Raw genomic sequence first — 23259 nt, forward strand, 5'->3', positions numbered from 1 at the left:
ATAATTGGTAGAAAAATCAGACTTTTAAAAATCAGTACAATAGCAATGAATGAAACAACAAAATTAACGAATTTGGCCCAATTGATGCATGTAGAACACAGAATGCACATTCCTTTTAAGTGCACATAGGCCAGGTGCGGTGGCTCACGCCTGTAATCCCAGCACTTTGGGAAGCCAAGGCAAGCGGATCACCTGAGGTTGGGAGTTTGAGACCAGCCTGACCAACATGGAGAAACCCCGTCTCTACTAAGAATACAAAATTAGCCAGGCGTGGTGGCACATGCCTGTCATCCCAGCTACTTGGGAGGCTGAGGTAGAAGAATCTCTTGAACCCAGGAGGCGGAGGTTGCGGTGAGCCAAGATAGGGCCATTGCACTCCAGCCTGGGCAACAAGAGCAAAACTCCATCTAAAAAAATAAAAATAAATAAAAAAACATGAAGCAAAATTTAACAGATTAAACAGGAGAAATGGACAAATTCACAGCTAGAGTTGGAGATCTTAACACTCCATAATTGGCAGAAAAACAGATTTTTAAAAATCAGTACAATATCAATGAATGAAACAACAAAATTAACGAATTTGGCCCAGTCGATGCATGTGGAACACAGAATGCACACTCCTTTTAAATGCACATGGAACATTAACCAAAATAACCCATATGCTGGTGCATAAAACATGCCTCAAAGGATTGAAATCTTACAAGGGAGGCTTTCATGCTCTCTGGAATTAAATTTAAAAAATAAACAAATAATTATTTTAAAAATTAACTAGGAAAAAAGTCCCTCCAAATATCAGGGCAGAGAAAAACTCAAAAGGAAATCATTCACTGTTCTTATCTGAAAAACACAACAAATCAAAATGTGTAGAAAATAGCTGAAGCACTGCTTACCAGGAAATTTATAGTTTTAATTTTACATATAAGGAAACAAGAAAGTTTTAAGTCAGCAGATTAAGCTTCCACCTCAGAACCACGCAAAAGTAAAACAGAATAACTCTAAAGCAAAAAGAGAAATAAAGAAATAATGAATATTACAGAGTTTAAAAACATCACAGGAAGGCTGGGCAGGGTGGCTCACGCCTGTAATCCCAGCACTTTGGGAGGCCAAGACGGTTGGATCACTTGAGGTCAGGAGTTGAAGACCAGCCTGGCCAACATGGCAAAACCCCGTCTCTACTAAAAATACAAAAATTAGCTGGGCTTGGTGGCACATGCCTATAATCCCAACTATTCAGGAAGCTGAAGCAGCAGAATCACTTGAACTTGAGAGGCAGAGGTTGCAGTGAGCCCAGACTGCACCACTGCACTCCAGCCTGGGCAATAGAGCAAGACTCTGTCCCAAAAAAAAAAAAAAAAAAAAAAAAGTCACTGAAATAGAAAATACACTAGCCATGAAGAAAATCAGCAAAGCAAAAAATCAATTATTTCAAAAGATTAATAAAATAACAAGAATGATCCAGAAAACAAAAGAAAATAAGGTAGAAACTACCAATATCAAGAATGAAATGAAATTAGAAATGTTCTGCAGACATTAAAAGGATAATAATAAAATATTACGAAGAACTTTATGTCAAGAAATTTATTAACTTAGATGATGGAACAGTTCCTTTAAAAATGCAACTTCCCAAACCTGTCACAAGAAGAAGTAAGAATCTCAAGAACTTTCTATTTTTTAAATAGAAGCCATAAATTAAAATAGTCTCACTTTAAAAATTAACAAAAAACCCACACAAAGCAAACAAGTCTCCAGACTCAGATGGCTTTATTAGTGAATTCTACCAAATATTGCAAAAAAAAAAACTTATACAAACTCTATCAGAGAACAAAAAAGGAAACACTCTCAACTCATTTTATGAGACTAACAATCCTAATACAAAACTTTGACAATAGTAGTACAGTAAAAAAATTGCAGATTAATCTAAATAGAGATGCAAAAAATCGTTAACAAAATATTAGCAAATTGAATCCAGAAACAGATGAAAAACAAATGTATGGGGTATATCATAGTAATGCAAGGTTTGCTCAACATTAAAAATTAATAAATGTTGGGTACAATAAAAAGAAGGAATGAATAAGACCTGCTATTTGATAGCACAACAGGGTGACCATAGTCAATAATAACTTAATTGTACATTTTAAAATAACTAAAAGAGTGTAATTTGGCCAGACGCGGTGGCTCACGCCTGTAATCCCAGAACTTTGGGAGGCCGAGGTGGGCGGATCATGAGGTCAGGAGATCGAGACCATCCTGGCTAACACAGTGAAACCCCATCTCTACTAAAAACACAAAAATTAGCCAGGCGTGGTGGCGGGCGCCTGTAGTCCCAGCTACTCGGGAGGCTGAGGCAGCAGAATGGCGTGAACCCGGGAGGCGGAGCTTGCAGTGAGCCGAGATCACGCCACTGCACTCCAGCCTGGGCGACAGCGCAAGACTCCGTCTCAAAAAAAAAGAAAAAAAGAGTGTAATTTGATTGTTTGTAACACAAGGACTAAATGTTGAGGGGATGGAGACCCCACTTTTCATGATGTGATTATTACTCATTGCATGCCTATATCAAAACATTTCATGTACCCCATAAATATATACTAAGTACCCACACAAATTTAAAAAATTTTAAAAAGTAATCGATATACTTCAACATATTAACACAATAAATATGTAAAACCATGTGATAGTCTCAATAGATTAAGAGAAAGCATTTTATAAAACTTAGTAGTTATTCAGCCAGGCGCGGTGGCTCACGCCTGTAATCCCAGCACTTTGGGAGGCCGAGGCGGGCGGATCACGAGGTCAGGAGATCGAGACCGTCCTGTTTAACACGGTGAAACCCCGTCTCTACTAAAAATAGACGGGCGTGGTGACGAGTGCCTGTAGTCCCAGCTACTTTGGAGGCTGAGGCAGGAGAATGGTGTGAACCTGGGAGGTGGAGCTTGCAGTGAGACGCGATAGAGTGAGACTCCATCTCAAAAAAAAAAAAAAAAAAAAAAAACTTAGTAGTTATTCATAAATAAAAATTCTCAGCAAGCAAAAGGTAGAAGAAAATTTCCTCAATCTGAAAAAGAATTTCTATGAAAAATACATAGCTGACAACATATATAAGGATGAAATATTCAACATTTGCCCTCTAAGACTGGGAACTAGGTAAAGATATTCATTCCTATCAAGTTTATACAGTACAGTACTGAAGGTTTCAGTAGTCTTCTAAGGCAAGACAAAGAAGGATGTAAGGCCGTCTTTATTTGCAGATGACATGATTGTAGAAAAATCCAAAGAAACCTACACATTTCTAGAATAATTAGTGAATTTAACAAGATTGGAGAGTTAAAAGTCAAAATAAAATAATCAGTATTATTTTTAAACACTAGCAACAAATGGAAAATGAATTTTTCATTAAAAAATATTATTTTTGCTATGGTTTGAATATTTGTCCCCTCCGAAACTCATGTTGAAATTAATCCCCAATGTAGCAGTGTTGAGGGGTGAGCCGTTTAGAGGTGATTGGAGGCTGGGCGCTGTGGCTTATGCCTGTAATCCCAGCACTTTGGGAGGCTGAGGCGGGCGGATCACGAGGTCAGGAGTTCAAGATCAGCCTGTCTAATATGGTGAAACCCCGTCTCTACTAAAAAATACAAAAATTATCTGGGCATGGTGATACACGCCTGTAGTCCCAGCTACTCAGGAGGCTGAGGCAGGAGAATCACTTGAACTTGGGAGGTGGAGGTTGCAGTGAGCTGAGATCACGCCACTGCACTCCAGTCTGGGGGACAGAGTGAGACTCCATCTCAAAAAATAATAATAATAATAAAAAGAGGTGATTGGATCATGAGGGCCTTACCCTTATTAATGCATTAATTCATTCATGGATTAATGGGTTAGTGGATTGTTTGGTTATCACAGGAGCACAGCTGGTGGCTTTACAAGAAGAGGAAGAGAGACCTGAGCTAGCCTGGTAGCACCTCAACCTCCTCACCATGTGATATTGGAACTCTTCAGAGAGTCCTCATCAGCAAGAAGGGTCTTGCTAGAGGCGGTCTCTCAGCTTTGGATTTCTCAGCCTCTATAACTGTAGAAATAAATTTCTTTATGAATTACCTACTTTCAGATATTCTAAATAACAAAAATGGACTAATATAATTTCCAATAGCATTCAAAAAAGTAAATATGTTGAAACAAATTTAACTAAAAAATGTGCAAGACCTCTACACAAAAAAAGTATATAACATTGCTAAAAGAAAGTAAAGACCTAAATAGATGGAAAGATATCCTATACTCAAGGATTGGAAGACTATTGTAACAGATGCCAATTCTATCCAAATTGATCTATAGATTCAATGAAATCACCAGTCAAAACCCCAGCAGGATTTATTATAGAAACTGACAAGCTGATTCTAAAATTTATACAGAAATGCAAAGGACCTAGAATAGCCAAAGCAATCTAGAAAGAGAACAAAATTGGAGGACTTATGGTAGCTGATTTCAAAACTTGATATGAAGCAAAAATTATAAAGACTGTGGGCTGTTAGCTCAAGGATAGAAAAAGACATCAAAGTAGCAGAAAATAAAGTCCAGAAATTGACCCACACCCGTATGGCCAAGTGATTTTTGGCAAAGACACAAAAACAGTGAGGAGAGAACAGTCTTTTTAACATACAGTGCTGAAATAACCGCAGAGCACATGGAAGAAATTAACTGGCTATCACCTTGCCCCATTCACACAACTTCATTCAAGATGGACCATAGCCTTAAATATCAAAGCTAAAACTAAAAATATTCTGGAAGGAAAAATAGGAGGATATTTTTACAATCGTAGGATTTATTAGACACGTCCTAAAAGCATAAGCCATAAAATTTAAAAAATGAATAAATTACACTTTATCAAAATTAAAATCTTTTGCTCATAAAAACACACTATTATTTTAAAAGGAGAAGGAAAGCTATAGATTTGTCTGTGAAATAATTATTGAATCACATATATCAGACCAAAAAATTATATCCAAAATGTGTAAAGAACTCTTACAAGTCAATGAGAAACAGCCAGACAACCCAATTATTGTAAAGGAGAAAAAGAAAACACACAAATGGCCAGGAAGTACATGAAAAGGTGCTCAACATCATCACCCGGGAAATGCAGTGATGTCATTCACACTGCACAAAGGGCTAGAATTAAAAATTTACAATACCAAGTGCTGATGAGGATGTGGAGCAATTGGAATTCTTATGTGTTAGTATCGGGAGAGTGAAAAGGCTTAAAACACTGTAGGAAGGTGATTAGCAACTTCTGTTGAAGTTAAACATACACCTACCCTACACAGGAATATAACCAAGGGACATTAAGGTGTAGGCCCACAAGAAAACTTACATAAAAATGTTCATAACAGCTTTATTCATAATAGCTCAGAGCTAGAAAAATATACATATATATATATATAAACAGGATAATCAATAAACAAATTAAACAAATTGTAATAAATTTAAACAAGGGTGTCTCCAGAAAAACAGATAGGCTGAACCACTGATACTTGGGTGGATCAAATCCCAAAAACATTGTTTAAACAAAAGAAACCAGACACATTCTATAAATAGGAGGTTCGAGAGCAGGAAAAACTAATCTATTGTGATGGAAATCAAAACAATGACTGCCTTGGCTGAAAAGGATTGAAAGGTAGCTTTTTGGGAGGATGGAAATATTTCATATCTTGATTTGGGTTCATGGGAATACATATGCTGTTCATGGGAATACATATTTGTCAAAATTGTCAAACTGTATACTGAAATCTGTTTACTTTCCTCTATCTAAATTTGCCTCAATTTAAAAATAACAAACATTTTAAAGTGAGAAAATGAGGGAAGGAGCTTTGGAGTCGGTGTACACTGTTTCAGGAAGTTTTGCTACAAATGGGAGCAGAGAAATGGTATAGTATGTTAGATATAGTGAACTCCAAGTTTCTCTTCAAAGAATCAGTATTCAGTATGTTCGGCCCTCTTATTCTTTGGTTCTCCATTTTAAAGTTTAACTTCCTGGTTCTCTTCACCCCCTTGCCTCTAGTTTCAGTAAACAACTTTGCCGCCAGTTCTAATCAGTAGTTTACATCTGTTCCCTGGGTCACCTGCTCCGACCTGAGTCACTCCTGGTCACCTGCTCCATCCTAACTCATCCTGAGTCACCTGTTCTGTAACAGCCCTTCCCACCAAACTACTAACCCCACCACTCTGGCTCATACTCCTGCTCTCTTAAAAATAGGCAATCAGAATTAGCTTAGACTCTGCAGTCCAACCCTAGCCAATAGGGGAAAAACACAGCAGTAGGGGCTACCCGCATCAGGAATAAGAACCCTTTTCCCTCCCTTGTTTAGGTGTGTTCTTGCCATTGTTCCCTCCATGAGTTGCACCCTTCTATAGAAGTAAAAATTGCCTTGCTGAGAAAAGTAAATTTATGTTCAAGTGCTATTTCTTCTTTTCAGCACTGGAGGAAGAAGCATTTGTTTCTAACAGTAGCTGATAGGGCAATGTGAGGAAGACGTATTTGTTTATTTTTTAAGACAAGAGAGATGACCGCACAGTTGAATGCTTATGGGAATGAGCCAGGAGAGGGGCAAGGACTGCTGGAGTGAATTCCTGGGGAAGACAGAGGATGTGAGCTCTAGACCCCCAGGAGTGGGGCTGAATTGAAGTTAGAACCCAGGTGGACCCTCTATGGCAAAGGGACAGGAGGGCAGAAGATGTGGGACAAGATGGTAACAGGTAGGGGATGATATGCTGGGATCTGTGGATGTAATCTCTTCTGATTGTTTCTCCTTTCGCAGTGAAGTGGGAAGCAAGGTTTTCAGATGAGTGTGAAGATGAGGGAGGAGGTTGTGGAGGAAAGGATGGAAGAGTCCTGTAGGATCTGGGAGAGGGCTGGCCTGCAGTGGGAGTCCGCCAACCATGGCCCTCAGGCCAAATCCTGCTGCTGCCTGATTTATATATGGCCCAGGAGCTAAGAAAGGATTTCACATTTTGTAATGGCTGAGAGAAAAAATCAAAAGAAGAATAATTTTTGGCATGTGAAAATTATATGAAATCTAAATTTCAGTTTCCATACATAAAGCTTTATTGGAACATAGCCACACTTCTTCATTTCTGTAGTGCCCATGGCAGCAGTGTTGAGTGAGAGCAGCAGAGACGGGTGGCCCATAAAGCCTGAAATATTTACCACCTGGCCCTTTACAGCCCGTTTGCCAACCAACATGATTGCTGGGCAGAATGAAGAGTTCACTTGGGGATTGTGGTCTTGAGTTTACAATGAAACACATCCACGTAGTTGTATGTTTTTGTTGTCTGTAATGTGGCGATAATTAGGTCACAGTTTGGTTGCTGATTTAGTTAAATGAGATCATATATGTAGAGTTTCTAGCATAAATGAAGTATTTATTCAACATGAACCCCCCCCGCCACCCCACCCACCTATTACCACTATCTCCTCTTGAGGCTAAAATGCACTGAGGAGGTGAAGTGCAGAGATCACAGTGGGATTCTAGTCAGATGGGGGCTGTCTCCTGAACCGGTTTTTCCTCTTCCAAACTTCTCCTTTGTAAGGCTGGGCTACTTTTGCATCCCCTCAGGGTGACTGGTCAGCTTTGTTTGTACAACAACTACAACAACCCCAATTCAAAACTATTCTGATCTTGCCCCTTGCAGGACAGTTCTGTGGGTGGCCCTGGGTCAATCCATTCTCTCCCACTTTTTCACTTGTAGTTCTCAAGAGTAACCGTAGAATGTGCTGGGAATGCAACGTCCTGAGTAAGGAGGAACAGCCCAGACCAGCCCCAGCTCTGTGCCAGTCTCTCCCGCAACAGGATGTCCTTCAGTGCTTTAGTCCAGAGTGTCATGGTGCCCTCGGGGTATAAAACCCAGGGCAGGTTGCTTTCCAGAGTCCTTCAGCTGTGGTGCAAGTGGGCATGTGCAGACATTTGCCCTGAGCAGCTTCCTGAGCCTTAGGGGACCTTTGTCATGAATCCTAGGCTTCTATTGCCCCTTGCTCCTTGTCTGTGAGGAATGAAGTTGTTTCATGCACTGTGTGAGTGTTCCATCTCACCAGACTTGAGCAAGCAGTAGAAATTACAGCCAGAGTCAGTGGGCCGAAGTGGTAACCCATGCACAGTAAACCTGCTTTGCACGCCTAGTCCTCGCTGGCAGACAGAGCTGTGACCCAGCATCTGTGGGTTCGAGAACTTAGATTCAGGGACCAAACTGTGTAGGAGCATTTAGGAGGAGCTTCCTCCACCCGGCCCCTCACCATCCTCACCATGAACATTCTCCCACCAATGCAGTTTCATAAAACAAACACAAGAGAGAGTTTGAAGGAGTGCTGGTGTCATTGTTACTTCCCATGAATGAGAATTGCCATTGCCTTTTTAAGACGTTTTAGAAATTTTAATCCAGTAGCAAAAAAAAAAAAATCACTATTTTCTTAAATTTAATTAATTTACTAAACTCCTCATGGTTCGTTGGATTCAATCCTGTATCTGTGATCTTTCTGGGTCCATTACACTCATGGGATTCGACTTCATCTCTTCGAACTCATAAAAATCTCATCAAAATGGAAATAAAATGTGATTTTGAACTTTCTAATGAAGGCGCCCGTCCTGGCTCCCGGGCACTCTGGAATTAACGTCCTCTCTCCCCCACCCTCTTTGTCGAGAACACTTTAGTTCTGTGCCGATGGGATGGGGAAAAGGATGTTGTTATGGTGAACACTCCCTGCCCATTCAGTCTTTCCAGCTCCTGCATCACACAGGAGGGACACTGAGAGGTATGCCGGTCCACAGAGCCACCTCCCGCCACGGCTGGCTCTTAGGATTCTATGTCCCATGGAGATTTTTTATTTTTTAATGAAAGGAAGGAAAGGCACTGTCCCAAATAAGGAAAAGAGTAGAATCACTTTTGAGCAGGCTTCTGCACAGATGTGAGGTGTGGCGGGCCGTGTCCCCAGGGTGGCCACACAGCCGGCCCTGCCTGTGCTCCCCGCGCACCTCCCGCCCTCCCTAGGCACCGGATGCTGGCTCACCACCGGCCTCACAAGCTTAGGACAGCACTGAATAGAGGTGCCGTTGTCTCCATTTTCAAATGAGAAATTCAGAACCAAAGGAGGCATTTAGCAACCTGTCCACGCTCACACATCCAGCAAGGGACAGAGCAGGGCTGGTTACAGCACGATGAGGTCAACCCCAGGGATGATGAGCGGAGGCCAAGCGTCCTCTCCAGGCCAGGTCTGGGGCCACGTGCCGTCCAGGCATGACCTCTTTCAGTCTGCACAGCTGCTCGAATGGTGCCATGATTATCAGCCCCAGTTTACAGATGGGCGAACAAAGTGGAGCAGTGAAGCCTCCCAAGACCACAGCCAGAAAGCAGCTGAGCAGTCACGGCGAGGACTGTGGACTCCCTGGCCTCAGAGCCCACGCCTTCTATCATCATCCCCACACCTGCTGGCTAGACACGTCCCCAGGACCGAAGTGCGAAATGGACCCTCTCCTCTTGGAATGTCCAGAAGAGACTGGTATTTTTCAAATTGGAATTTTACTTAATCTGAGTGCCTCCAAGGATATCCAAACTTCTAGCCCAGGAAGAGAGTCTGCTGGAATGTTCAGCTTTCCGGTCTGCGCTTCCAGACCTCGTCCCAGGACCGTGGGTCCTGCCTCAGTTCCCAGGTGTTGAGAGAGGAATGAAGGCCCTTCCAGCTGGTCCCCAGTGGCTCACGGCCCCCATGGCTGTTCACAGAGCTATTCACAAGTGTGCCAGGTCTCCCCACGTGACTTGTTCTGAACAATAAAACATAAGGCAAAACAATGTGTGTCACTCCTGGGCAGAAGTGTTAAGAGAAAGTGCACAACTTATCACACTTCTTTCCATTCATCTCAGTGATGGAAGAACTCATGTGAGATGGGACCTTCATCAGCCTCGGTCCCTGAGTGACAGTAAGAGTGGAGCCCCTGCCAACCTTCTGTAAGGAGCACTAAGTTCTTTTGTAAAGCCACTGAGATAATTGGTTATTTATTAATACAGCACAACCTGGCCACACACATGCAACACATACTCCTACAAACTCCCCAAACATGCACGCATGCCCCTCCAACCACACACACACAGACACACACACTCCTCCAACCACACACATAGACACACGCACTCCTCCAACCACACACACACAGACACACGCACTCCTCCAACCACACACACACAGACACACACACTCCTCCAACCACACACACAGACACACACACTCCTCCAACCACACACACACAGACACACACACTCCTCCAACCACACACAGACACACACACTCCTACAACCACACACACAGACACACACACTCCTACAACCACACACACAGATACACGCACTCCTACAACCACACACACATAGACACATACACTCCTACAACCACACACAGACACACACACTCCTACGACCAGGCACGCATACACACACATGCCCCTATAGCCGTGCACGCATACACACAGGCACCTACAACCACACACATAGACACACACACACCTACAAACACACACACAAACACACATACACCTACAACCATGCACACATGCACACACATGCCCCTACAACCATGTACGCATGCACACACAGGCACCTACAACCACACACACACTCCTACAACCACACAGACACACACTCCTACAACCAGGCACACATACACACACATGCCCCTACAGCCATGCACGCATCCACACAAGGCACATACGAGCACACACACACACACTCCTACAACCATGCATACATGCACACATATGCCCCTACAACTATGCGTGCACACACACACACACATGCACCTACAACCACACACACAGACACACACACTCCTAACACCACACACACCTACAATGACATACACAGAGGCACACACTCCAACCATGCACACATGCACAACATGCCCCCACAACTATGCACGCATGTACACACAGGCACCTACAACCACACAAACACACACACACCTACAACCATGCGCACATGCACATACACTCCTACAACCACATACATAAACACACACACTCCTACAACCATACACACATAAACATACACATACTCCTACAATCCTCCCACACACATGCCCTGCCACTCCCATGCACATGCCCCACACACATGCCTGCAACCACACACACAGGCGCATATATGCCCTGTGTGTTGGGGGGGCACTTGGGAGCAAGGTCAGCCCATATGGGATCAGCAAGCTGGGCAGAGTCTCAAAGAATGAGTGGGTGCTCCCCAGATGAAAGGTGGGGCTCTGGACACTCCAGGCATAGGAACAGCAAATGTACAAGGAGGATAGGGGCAGCCTCCTGGGCCTGATGGGTGTGCTGGCCGGATGCCAAGCACCCAGCAGGGAGTGTGGCTCAGGTGAGGTGGGAGGTGGGCAAGGCCAGATCCTGACCAGGCAACCACTCACACGAAACCCACTGCAGTGGTGCAACTTGGGGGCTTTTAAGGGCCTTTGCCTTTAGGTGGCAAGGAGCATGCTCAGGCCCTCAAACTGGTCAGTGACACGGTCAGGTTCGTCTAGGGAAAGACATCTAGGGCAGCCAAGAGAAGACAGGAGACAGCGGGGGCGTGCAGTGGTCCAGCCTGGCAGGGGTGGAAGAAGTGGAAGAGGGGGCGGGCAAGACACATTTGATGCTTCAAAGCTGAGACATGGAAGACCTGCCTCCCCGCTACTGTGTTCAAAGCACTTCCACTCCCGACCTCCCCCAGTCCCCGGGCAATAGAGCTACTTGCATTCACATGGCTATTACCAAAAAACAAACAAAAAGAAAACAAACAAACAAAACAAAGCAGAAAATAACAAGCGTTGAGAATGTGGAGAAATTAGAATCCTTGTGCACTGGGGTGGGAATGCAAAATGGTGCATCCGCTGTGGAAAACAGCAGGGAGTTTCCTCAAAAAGTTAAGCATACAATTACCATATGACCCAGAAATCCCACTTCCGGGTATATACCCAAAAGAACTGAAAGCAAGATCTCGAACTGATATTTGCACACCATGTTCCTAGGAGCATTATTCACCACAGCCAGAAGGAAAGCTACCCAAGTGTCCATCAAGGGATGAACAGATCAACAAAATGTGGTATCACACACAAAAGGATGTTGTTCCACCTTAAAAAAGAAGAAGATTCTGGCACATGCTACAACGTGGATGAATCTTGAGGACATTATGTTAAGCTAATCATAGAGGGAAAATACCATATGATTCCACTTATATGGGATGCCTAGAATAGTCAAATCCATGGAGAGAAAATAGAATGGGGGCCCCAGGGACTGGAGGGAGGGGAATGGGAAGTTCATGTTGAATGGGGACAGAGCTTCCGTTTGGGAAAATGGAGAGTTCTGGAGATGGATGGTGGCGATGGTTGCACAATGATGTGAATGTACTTTAATGCCACTGAGCTGTACATTTTAAAAGGCTTAAATAATAAATTGTGTTACGTGAATTTTACCACAATTTTAAAAATTCGAACTTTCTTAAAATCCAGATCTGGCCCGTCGCAGCTGTTGACTGTGGGAAATTAATCTCTCTGTGCCTCTCTCTCTTTCATGATTTCAAGGATTTGTGATGACGATGCACGTAAACTGCCCTGCGGGCTGCCTGGCTTGGAGGAGGCATTTACGAAATGATCAGCACAATCAACTGCCTCCTCCGTGCCCCTGATGTGTGCAGGTTGCAGGAGGTCACAGCAGGAAGAAGGAGCCCCCGCCTCATCCTCAAGAGTCCTGTCTGGAATCCATCCTGGGTGAAGACATGAGTCAGCACCCCGTAGGCAGGGAGAGAGAGGTTTAGCTCCACGTAGACCCCCAGGCGAGGGTCTTTAGCTCAGAGTTGCCCCAGAGGGAGCCCAGATCAGCCAGGAATGGCTCCCAGTGAGCAAGAGGAGGGGCATCTGCAGCCAACATAGCCTCCTGACACCTCCTGCCTCCACATACCCCTGTGCCAGACAAACAGTGCCATGTTCTGTGTATTCTGCAAACATGGGAAAGGCTGGGAAATGGAAGTCTTGCTCACCCAGGAACTACTCGCATTGAAAAAATGATAGGAGCTAGCTTTTCTGGGAGCCCCCCATGTGCTAGAAATTTTTAATAAAATCTCATCAATCCTAATAAGAAATATCCTAAATAGATGTTGCCATTTGCATTTTTGAAGATGAGGACACTGATGCCCACAGAAGTTAAGTGATGCCCCCAAGGTCACATGCATGGCATTGAGAGGGGGGTTGCAAGCCAGGTGTGTCTGGCCACAAAGCCTCTCTCCTTTCTGACATGCTCCAAGATTCCACACCTGGCCCATGGCTCAAGCAGATGGCATCATCCCCCTGCAGCCATTCGGTAACCCACTCGACTCAGCCTTATCCCCCTCTCACCCCAAGAACAACCCACATCCCTGACAGTGGGGGAGAGAGAGGTAGGAGGACCAAGCCCACCTGTGCCCTTTTTTCTTTTAACTAGTCAGCTCAGCATCTATCCAAAAAGCCCCCACCAGGAGCCCTGAGAGATTGAATGACTCCCCTCTTGAATGACTCCCCTCTTGGACCTCCTAAACCCAAGATCACCTCTTTGGTGCTCACCTGTGCTGGGCATACAGCAATAGTTCAGACAAACACCAGAGTAGCCCACATGCCCTGCATCAACCAGGGAGACTGGAGGGCAAAGCACGCTGGGTCACCACCGAGCAGGACCTGGCTAATTAACAGGGACACATAGCATGGTAAAGGTTTGCATCAGTACCTATATCTGAGAAGGAGCTCCTGGACAAAGCAGATTTGCCTGTCACCCCACCTCCCCATAGAGGGGAGCTCACAAGGCTCTCAAATCCCAGGGGAGGCCTCTCTGAGCATGGAAGGTGGACAGCCTGAAAGCCTTCAGAGGAAGGAAGGGCAGGCCTGGGGAGCCCCACACCCTAGCAGGCTGCTCACCTCCCCAGATCTCAAATCCCAGCCCGCAGCCAGAGGCCAAGATGCATTGTCTCTCTGAGTTTATTCCCTAGGTCATCTCCAGCTGGCTCTGCTGACCCTGAAGCTCTCCTTTCCTGGAATGACATCATGACATCATGCTTACTGGAAACCCAGCAGCAGATCCCTGGGACCCCACACTCTGTGCTGCCCCGGCCCTGCCATGGCAACAAGGGTCAGTGTGTGGGCTCTCATTTTATGTGTAGGTAAATCAAGCGCCACAGTATGAAAGGGATTCAGGCATCGCCTACCTCCTACATAATCAGGTGCCTGCCTGACCTTGGCCTTTCAAAGATAGAGAACAAAGGGGACCCCAGTGCCACATAAGCCCTAGAGGAGAGACAGCCTCTGCCCTGAGGTTGGGAAAACAGTCTGTAAAGCTCCCTCCACCCATAATGGCATTGCTTCCCTTTGGCCCCATCCACCCATCCATCTCCCACCCATCAACCCACCTATTCATCTATCCACTCACCTCTTCATCTGTTTACTACTCAGCCATCCATCCATTCATCCATTCACTCAATAAACATTCCTGCCTACCTACACTATGCCCGGCCCTGTCCTGGATGCTGGATGCTTACAGAAAATGCAAGGTGCATAGATAGGGCAGGGACCATGTTAGAGGCAGGTAAATATAGCACAGGATTACTCTGGTTGGCCGAGGCCTCAGAGCTGTGCAGGAAGCTGGTCTATGGCTGCCTGTAGTTGGAACTCTGCTCTGTGCACATGGCCGTGTCGAGAATGGCCTCCTATGGCCAGGTCTGGACTCCCCAGTAAAACCGTACCCCTGAGGGCAGCTATGTGGCTATTTGAGATTTGTGCCCCACTCTGTGAGGAAACTGAGTTCTGCAGGTGGGGGGGAACAAGAAGCCTCTTGTCTGGAATAGTGGTGACCAGCACATTTCCAGGCCCGGAGCACTCATAGCCCTCATCTTGTTCCCTACAATGCCATTCTTCTTGATGGCGTAGGTGATGGTGAGTGAAGGATGCAGCTGGTCCCAGTTAATTGTTTATGTGCCAATATGACATCTGTTCCCCTCTGGCAGCCCTACATAGTTGTTTTCAAAACACCTTAAATTTTTCATATACTTAAGTACAGGCGTTCTCGCACCAGATTTGGTTTCAGGGACACATCAGGGCAGGTGGTGTGGGACCAACATCCCACTGTGTAGTCCACCTCCTTGACCAGCAAAGAGGCCTGTGGGCTACACATTGAGCCCAGACTGGGACCCATCACCATAAAGGGAAGGGAAGCACCCCTAGCCCTCTCTGTGAAGCAAATGTGATGTGCTTTGAGCCCTGCTTATAACTCTCCCTGGCTCCTCTGCCCTCAGATAAAATCAGCCTCTGCGGGGCCGACTGACCCTAGAGGTCCTGGTGGCCTCACAGATCTATAGATCGTGGCTCTGTGGCCCCCAGGGAGGAGGTGTCATCTTAGCTTATCATCATCAGTCCTGCAGACATCAGCTACAGTCATCCTGGCCAAGGAGCAACTGGTGAATACTTAAAAGCATTGATACGGGCCGGGCCGGGCGCGGTGGCTCACGCCTGTAATCCCAGCACTTTGGGAGGCTGAGGCAGGCAGATCGTGAGGTCAGAAGTTCGAGACCAGCCTGGCCAACATGGTGAAACCCTGTCTCTACTAAAAATACAAAAATTAGCCGGGCATGGTGGCGAGCACCTGTAATCCCAGCTACTCAGGATGCTGAGGCAGGAGAAATGCTTGAACCTGGGAGGCAGAGGTTGCGGTGAGCCGAGATTGTGCCACTGCACTCCAGCCTGGGCAACAGAGCGAGACTTCATCTCAAAAAAAAAAAAAATAAAAAGCATTGATACTACTGCCCGCATGATCCCTTCTGGGAGGGCCAGTGGAGACTGCCCATAGTGAGTCCGACAGAGCCGCTGTGGGCCACACACATCATGGCTCATAGATGGTGTTGGCTCATAGATGGTGTCGACTCATTAGCCTCAGTCATGCTGACGACATGCTCTTTATGGATGAAAAATTAGGATCAGACTGGTGGAGCTCATGCCCAGGCACCTGCAGCAGCTCTGCCTATTTTACGTGTCAACTCCACCAGGACACGAGGTGCCCAGACAGTTGTTCAGACATTATTCTAGATGTGTCTGTGGATAAACATTAAATAAGTAGGCTGAGTAAAGCAGATTACCCTCCCTAAGTGGGTGGGCCTCATTCTATCACTCGAAGGCCTGAATAGGAGAAAAGGCTGACCTGACCCTACCTGGAGCAAGGGAGAATTCCTCCTGCCCGGCGGCCTTCGAGTTGGGACATCAGCTCCGCAGATTTTGAACTTGCCAGCCTGTCTCCTCTCCTCTCTCCCTCTCTCCAGATAGATAGATACATAGATACATAGATATAATAATATATCATGTATATGTGTATATGTGTGTGTGTGTGTGTGTGTGTGTGTGTGTATGTGTGTATGTATGTATCTCCTACTGATTCTGTTTCTCTGCAGAGCCCTGGGAAGCCTCTGGCCACACCCCCAGCCTACAAGTCGGGGAGTGGCTGAAAAGGGAAGGTGTGAGGGGCTGAGCAGGCAGTGGGTATGCAAAGTGCACAGGTGGGCTCCACGCCAGGCCCAGCGGGTCCATCCTACCCTGCTGGATGTCGTTTATGGGTTTCCGCGGGGCCTCGGATTCCTCACATGGGAACCGGGAGACCCACAACTTAGCTCCCAAAGGCGCCTGGAGGGCTCTGGGCAAATGAAGCCTCCATCCGGGATGCACGGACTTGTGCTGCTACTGTTCCCTCCTGGGCTGGAGCGGGCCCGACTGGGAACTCCAGGCTCCTCCAGGCTCCTCCAGGGTTCAGGGCCTCTCTCAAGCCTCGCTCCTTCACCACAGACAGCGCCGGGGCCTCGCGCCTTATTTTTCTGCTCTTAGAAAAGTTTCTGCCTCGGCAGCTTTCCCGAGCTGAGTCAGCAGGGAAGGCAGCTGTCTGGACCTCGGGGTGGAAGCCCATTCATCAGCCCGCTTTCTTGGTGCTCGCCCAAGGATGGCTTCGTGGGGGGACGTGCTCTGCAGGCCCTGAACTCTGCACCTCCTGGACCACAGTGTCTGGGATGAGAAGGGAAGTGGGGGCGTCAGGGGCAACCCACAGGGCAGCCCCTGGAAATCTGTGCTGGCAAGCCCTTCCGCAGCCTTGCAAACCAGGGCCCCGCGCGTTGAACCCAGGAGCCAGGCCATGTCCGGAGAGGCTGAGCGCCCTCCAGCACCGGCCACCTGGCCCTAGCCCAGCTGCAAGCAAAGGCTCTGTGCCTAGCGTGGCCCGGCCCCACAGGACTGATCAGGCTCACGTGGCCGACCCTCCCAGCCCCCTAACCCCGGTCGGGCCCATCACCCAGAGCCCCAAACGCACCCTCGCGGCGCTTCAGCGGGGTGGGCGTGGTCTGGTCGACCCGGTGGTGCCGCCCCACAGCGCCCCCTCGCGTGCGCCAGCCAGCTCGGCCTCAGCTCCCCGCGCTCCTGCTCCTGCCTAAGGAGAGCTGCTGGCCTCTTCCCCAGAAGGAACGGGGCTCTGCCCCTGCCTTCCCGGAGCCCCATCTGGGTGACCCTCCCACTGGCAGTAAATCTTGCCTGAAGTCCCGTATCTGATCCCTGCCAGACTCTTCTCTCTTGCCTCCTCCACCCGCTTCCTCACCCGCAAGAATCACCTCCTCCAAACCACCTGCTGATCCCAGGGCCGTCAGAGGCTCCTCCTGATTCCTGCCTCCCCGTCCCTCCCTCCCCACGCCACACCTCCGCTCTCAGGGCCTCCTTCCCCTTCCCTCTTCCTTCTCTCTTCCCGACCCAAGCCCTTCAAAGCTCAGAGGCTCGACTCATTTCCCCTAGGGCAAAATGGCACGTGGTTGGCATACACTACATCTGTCTTGCTTTTTCTCCCTCCCAATATTTGTCTCTTGGCTTCTGCTTTCTATGTACCCAGTAGTCTCGAGACCCGTGGGAGGAGCCCCCTCAGGCCAGAACCCCCGGACTGGAGCACTCACAGACATGCGCTCTCCAGGTCTACTCCCACGTGTGCCCCGGCTCCTGCCTCCTGAGACCGGCTCCAAGTCCATTTTCTTCCCGGGCAGCGCATGGTCCAATTTACTGTCACCTTTAGGGTTGCCCCCATGTGAGTAGCGAGTGAGGGACCCAGACTTAGCCCTCCCCATTGACGCACTAGAGAAACCGAGACCCTATACTAGACAGGGGAGGGAGTTGTCCGTAGTGGGGACAGAGAGAGAGAGAGAATGTATGCGTGTGTGTGTGTTATGTGTGTGTGTGTGTTGTGCATGTGTGTACGTGTGTGCTGTGTGCATGTTTTCTGGGGCTCTATGGGGAGGATGCTTCAAGGGAGGAAAGCTTTTCTTTTTTTTTTTCTTTTTTTTCTTCTTTTTTTTTTTTTTTTGACAGAGTTTCACTCTTTCACCCAGGCCGGAGCGAAGTGGCATGATCTTGGCTCACTGCAAGCTCCGCCTCCCAGATTCTCCTACCTCAGCCTCCCAAGTAGCTGGGATTATAGGCGCCTGCCACCACACCCGGCTAATTTCTGTATGTTTGGTAGAGACGGGGTTTCACCATGCTGGCCAGGCTGGTCTCAAACTCCTGACCTCAGGTGATCCACCTGCCTTGGCCTCCCAAATGCCAGGATTACACGCATGAACCACCGCACCCGGCCTGAGGAAAGCATTTCTTCTCACAGCTCCCTGGCAAAGCCAGAATGGAAACTGCAACGGTGGGGTTGAAGGATCAAGGGGGGCGTCTGTGAACACCTCAAAGGAAATCAGAAGAGGAGCTTTTCTCCCTGAAGCCCCCATTTCTGAGGGAGTTGCTTTGCACAAGTTCTTAGCTTCTCTGAGCCTCTGTTTTCTTATCTGTAAATGGCAATAAGCCCATGGACCTCACAGGGTTATGCAAAGGGTTAAATCACATGCTGGGTGTGAAGAATCTGGGCAGTACCTAGCACTCAGGAGGGTTCAGTCTCCCCAGGGCCTGACCCTCCATCCATGGCCCACAGGAAAGGATTCCGCCATGCCCAGCCCATCGTCCCACCAAGGGAGAAAGAACAAAGAAATGTGACTTGCAGAAAACACTCCACCCTGAGAGTGACAGCCCTGCCAGGAGACGGCTCAGAGCTGGGAAATTATGAATGCAGTGTTATTAAGGAAAACGCATAAGTGATTTTCAGTATAATTAAGATGGATGGCTCTAATAACCCTGCAGGGCCCAATTCTGAGCCACATTACCAGGCTTTTAAGGGGAGTTTCGTGCACTCTGCTTCAGTGAGCACCAGAGTCCAGTGCAGGGAAGATGAGGCTCTCAAGCCAATGCCCCTGGACCAAAGCCAGTGGAGAGGCTTAGATCAGAGCCCAAAGAATCGGCAGAACCACTGTGCCCTGGGAAAGACATCCTAACCCCTTGCCTCTGCAGCACAAAGCCATTCTTCCTTCTCCCTTTGAGACACAGTGCTTCGGTCACCAACAGGACTCTTGTTGGATTGAAGTGCCGTCCTATCACCCTGGCAAGAGAGGAGAGCTTACAAAGGAAGAAACTGAGGTCCCAGGGGGCCATGTAACCTGCCCAGGGATCACCAGCACCTCAAAAACATTATCAAAAGTGAGATGAAGGGACCTAAATGTGGTCAGATTCTACCTTCTCCCATTGCAGGTCTCCCCTGTAGCACCAGCCAGACCATCCCATCACTGCTGGATGAGCTCCAGTGCTAAGCCGCTCCCTAGCCCCATCTCACTGCAGTAATAACAACAGAGCTCACCATAGGCGCTCATGCTTACTGCCTGCTGGTGTGGGCCCAGCTCTTTCTACCACCTATTTTAAATAATTCCCACTACAACTCTGTTATTATCCCTAGAGGGTAATTGACTTGCTCAAGGCCACGTGACTAGTTAGGGGCTGTGCTGAGACTCTCCCTGAATCTCTGTGAGCGTGGAACCCACACTGCTGCAGATGCGGGTCTCCAGGTGTCAGAAAGCCAATCCTTACAAAGTTGAGTGATCCAAGTCTACCTGTCAGAAAACTACGTTCCCTCAAGACTGGGGAATCCTCCTCTCCTCCTCTGCAGCAGCTGCCTCCACTCTGTCAACTTGGGGCTGCCTGTCCCCACTCGAAAGCCAACCCCGCTTCCCCCAAAATGCGGCTCCCAAGTTCCCCACCCCTTCTTGAGAGAGCCCTGGCTCCCCAGTGGGCCACACTCTCCCCACAGCAGCAGGAGGACCACCCAGGAACTGGGCAGCACGTTGCCCTGAGCCCCACACGGCCGCCACACCTCTGGGCCCTCCCTCCTCTCTCAGCAGTGGGTGTGCAGGCTGCACTGGCCTTGAGGTCAGACATCTGGGGCAGTGCCTTGCTCCCCCGTTACTAACCAGGCAGCCTGGAGCAAGCCACTGTAATCTCCCTAGGCCTCGTTTTCCCCACCTTTGAAATGGAGATAGACGTGCCTGCCACACATGGCTACTCGGAAGACCGAGGGCAACAATGTCTACACACTTAACCCTGTCCATTTCCAACCCTGCCAGGCTCTGCAGGGTGCTGAGCAGGGTGGGAGCTGACAGGGAAGAGGGCCTTGCTCTGAGGATTTAGCTCTCTGCCCTGCAAAGCACACCTGGTCCTGCAGACTTAGGCAAAATGCCAGAGGAGGGGGAAAACAGAAAAGAAAAATTAAGCTGCAGATGTTTCATTCCTCAGGGCCTGTTTGGAGTGATGGGGTTTCCTTGCTGTAGAAAGAGCTTTCAAGAACGGCTGCCCCAGCCTGGAGTGGGGCCTGAAGGTCCATGCTCCAAGCTCCCAGGATCCACACAGCCCATGGACCCTGTGATGCCATCCTGAACCCGCTTCCTCTAGGCCAGGACTCACAGCACTCCCAGCACCTGAGAGTCTTCGCTTTGCTTCTGGCCTGTGCCTTCTCTGCTTCCCCAGGACTCACCAAGCCACAGGCCAGCCAGCCTTATTCCCCGCACTGGGAGCTGCCAGACTCAGCCATCTGTTCTTGCTGGGCACTGAGAGCCTCTTGAGAGGCTCCTAGGTCCGTAAATACCCCCAGATCTTCCTATCCAGAGTCACCTGCTTAGGCAAGCGCTCCTGGGCCAGGGGCATTGGGGATGAGGGGGGTTATCTTACAAGGCTTTAGTGGGGAATGCAGGGAGTAGGGCCAGGATGGGGTTCTGATCACCTCACCTTGAGGTTCCTAGCTGTGTGGCCCTGGCAGTTCCCTTAACCTGAGGCCTGCTTCCAGCACATGTAAAGTGAGGATAGCACCCCGCGCTGGCATGAGCTCAGCATGCAATGGGCCTCCACATGGAGACCCCAGGCCCCCTGCTGTTTCTGTCTCTGCTGCCCCTTCCTGAGCCGCAGAGTTCTCTGGGAGGAACAGCAGAGGAGAGGGCAGAGACTCACGTCATCAACTGCTCCCAAATGTTTCTTCTTTGGGTTTCCTGAGGACATGACAATTTTCTAGGCTGGAGCTTTGTGTGGGTTCAATACCCTTTTTGAATCCTCCAAATGACTTTTCCAATAAAGATTAATGAGCTGGGAAGTTGAAACTCTTCACCCAGAGCACGGATCTTCGGGTCCGGGATCTGGGTTCCGTCTGCGGTTGCATCCTTGTTTGCCTGCAGGAGCGACTCCTGTCCCAGTGGGTCACATGGGAATGCAGACTTTTCTCACAGGTTGGGCTGGGAGTCCTCCACATTGGTCACCAGACATTGCCACTTCTCCTCAGGGCAGGTCCTCAGCAGGAGCCCCCCACCAGGCCACATCATAAGGTACCATCTTTGAGGCTGGGAGAGGCTGTACAATTAGATCTGTGCATGACCTGTGTAAGGAGGTGACATCTTCCACTTCCCAGCCGGAGCTTTTAAGGACCTCCTACACTCACTTCTCCCCTAGCAGGGTGGCCCCTAACACTCAAGGGAGGAACTGTGCCATCTGCCAGGCCTTTGAGCGGCTTTGATGACCAGAGACCTCTGCCAACCCATATGGCTAAGTAACATAAAAGACAAAGAAGTCTTTGTTGTTTTAGACCACTGAGATTTGCAGGTGTTTGTTACCAGGGCCTGACCTTGCCTACCCTGACTGATACACTTACTGTAAAGACTAAACGTGACTCAGTGGATAGAGCACCTGGCACACAGCAGGCTCTGAAATGATGACTGTGTCCCCTTGTTGCATAAACTCCAAAGGGCAAGGCCGGGCCACAGCAAAGAAGTCAAACACCCCCAGCAGAAAGCACACATGCTTGTTCATACTGACATGTAAGTGATGGAGGGCAGATTTTTTTTTTTCCAAAAAGCAACTGTGGCTCAGACGGTGGTGAGAAGGTTCCAGGAGCAGAGTCTGGGAAGGAGTGGGAGGAGGCATGGAGACCCGTGGAGCTGAAAGCAGATGCCCAAGACCAGACCGACCACCTTCCTCACCACTTTGCAGGGAAACTTCCATCAGAAAATGCATCCCACAGCTCTGCTGAATCCCGGAATACAGTCGAGGGTAGGGAGGATAAAGAGCAGGGAGGAGGGAACTGATCAGGAAGGCAAGGAGTGGGACCTGGCAGGCAGCAGCATCCTATAGCACAGCCCCTGACCAGGAAGGGAGGGCAGGACCCTAGCGTACCCTCCCCTGAGTGGTTGCAGAGCCAACAATCCAAACCTAACAACAGCAACTGACCCTTGCTGAGCACCTGCTCGTGGCTAGACCGTGGCTGTGTGTGCCCCATTCATTACTCTCCACTTTTGATCTTCCTAGCAGGTCCTGCGAGAGCCAGCATCAGCTCCCAGGGGGGGCAGGAGGCTCTACATTCCATCGTCTCTGCAAAGCTCTTGGCACGGCCCTTGGCAGGCAGCAGGCACACAATAAATGGCATTTCACAGCCATGTGGGAAAGACCACATGCCAGGTGGGACACCTGGGGAGGCTGGGAAACTCGCCCAGCAGCCGTGAGTGTGGGATTCTCTTCTGTCATGAGGCCTCTCCTTGGGCACCAGTGGAGTCTCCATGAGGGCCTGGCCCACAGCAGCCCCACCTGTCACAGCCTTCAAAGCTAAATACCTTGCCATATGCTCTGGCCCCAGAGAGATCCACTGTTTCCCGGACACAAATGCCAATAGCAGTCAGTTCTTGTGATCCGTGCTGGCTCACCCTTAGGTATGGGCATATTCACCCATGAGTTTATGGCACAGATGTGTGCTCAAGGTCCCAGTCCCATGGCTGGGGGACCAAAAGGAGGAAGCCCAAGCACTGCCGCCTGGGACCTCA

General features: G+C 48.5%; 2 annotated features.

Moving 5' to 3' along the window:
* Positions 5463–6662: an enhancer, noted in NCBI's record as "CDK7 strongly-dependent group 2 enhancer chr2:127632091-127633290 (GRCh37/hg19 assembly coordinates)". NCBI's record gives its function as "activates an origin of replication core promoter dependent on BRD2, BRD4, P300/CBP, MED14 and CDK7 cofactors, with strong dependence on CDK7, by STARR-seq in HCT116 cells {active_cell/tissue: HCT116}" and the evidence as "EXISTENCE:reporter gene assay evidence [ECO:0000049][PMID:35650434]".
* Positions 17313–17512: a silencer, noted in NCBI's record as "silent region_11928". NCBI's record gives its function as "represses an Ori minimal core promoter by ATAC-STARR-seq in GM12878 lymphoblastoid cells {active_cell/tissue: GM12878}" and the evidence as "EXISTENCE:reporter gene assay evidence [ECO:0000049][PMID:35858748]".

This window comes from Homo sapiens, chromosome 2, assembly GCF_000001405.40.
Source record: "Homo sapiens chromosome 2, GRCh38.p14 Primary Assembly".
In the NCBI taxonomy this organism is placed as follows: Eukaryota; Metazoa; Chordata; class Mammalia; order Primates; family Hominidae; genus Homo; species Homo sapiens.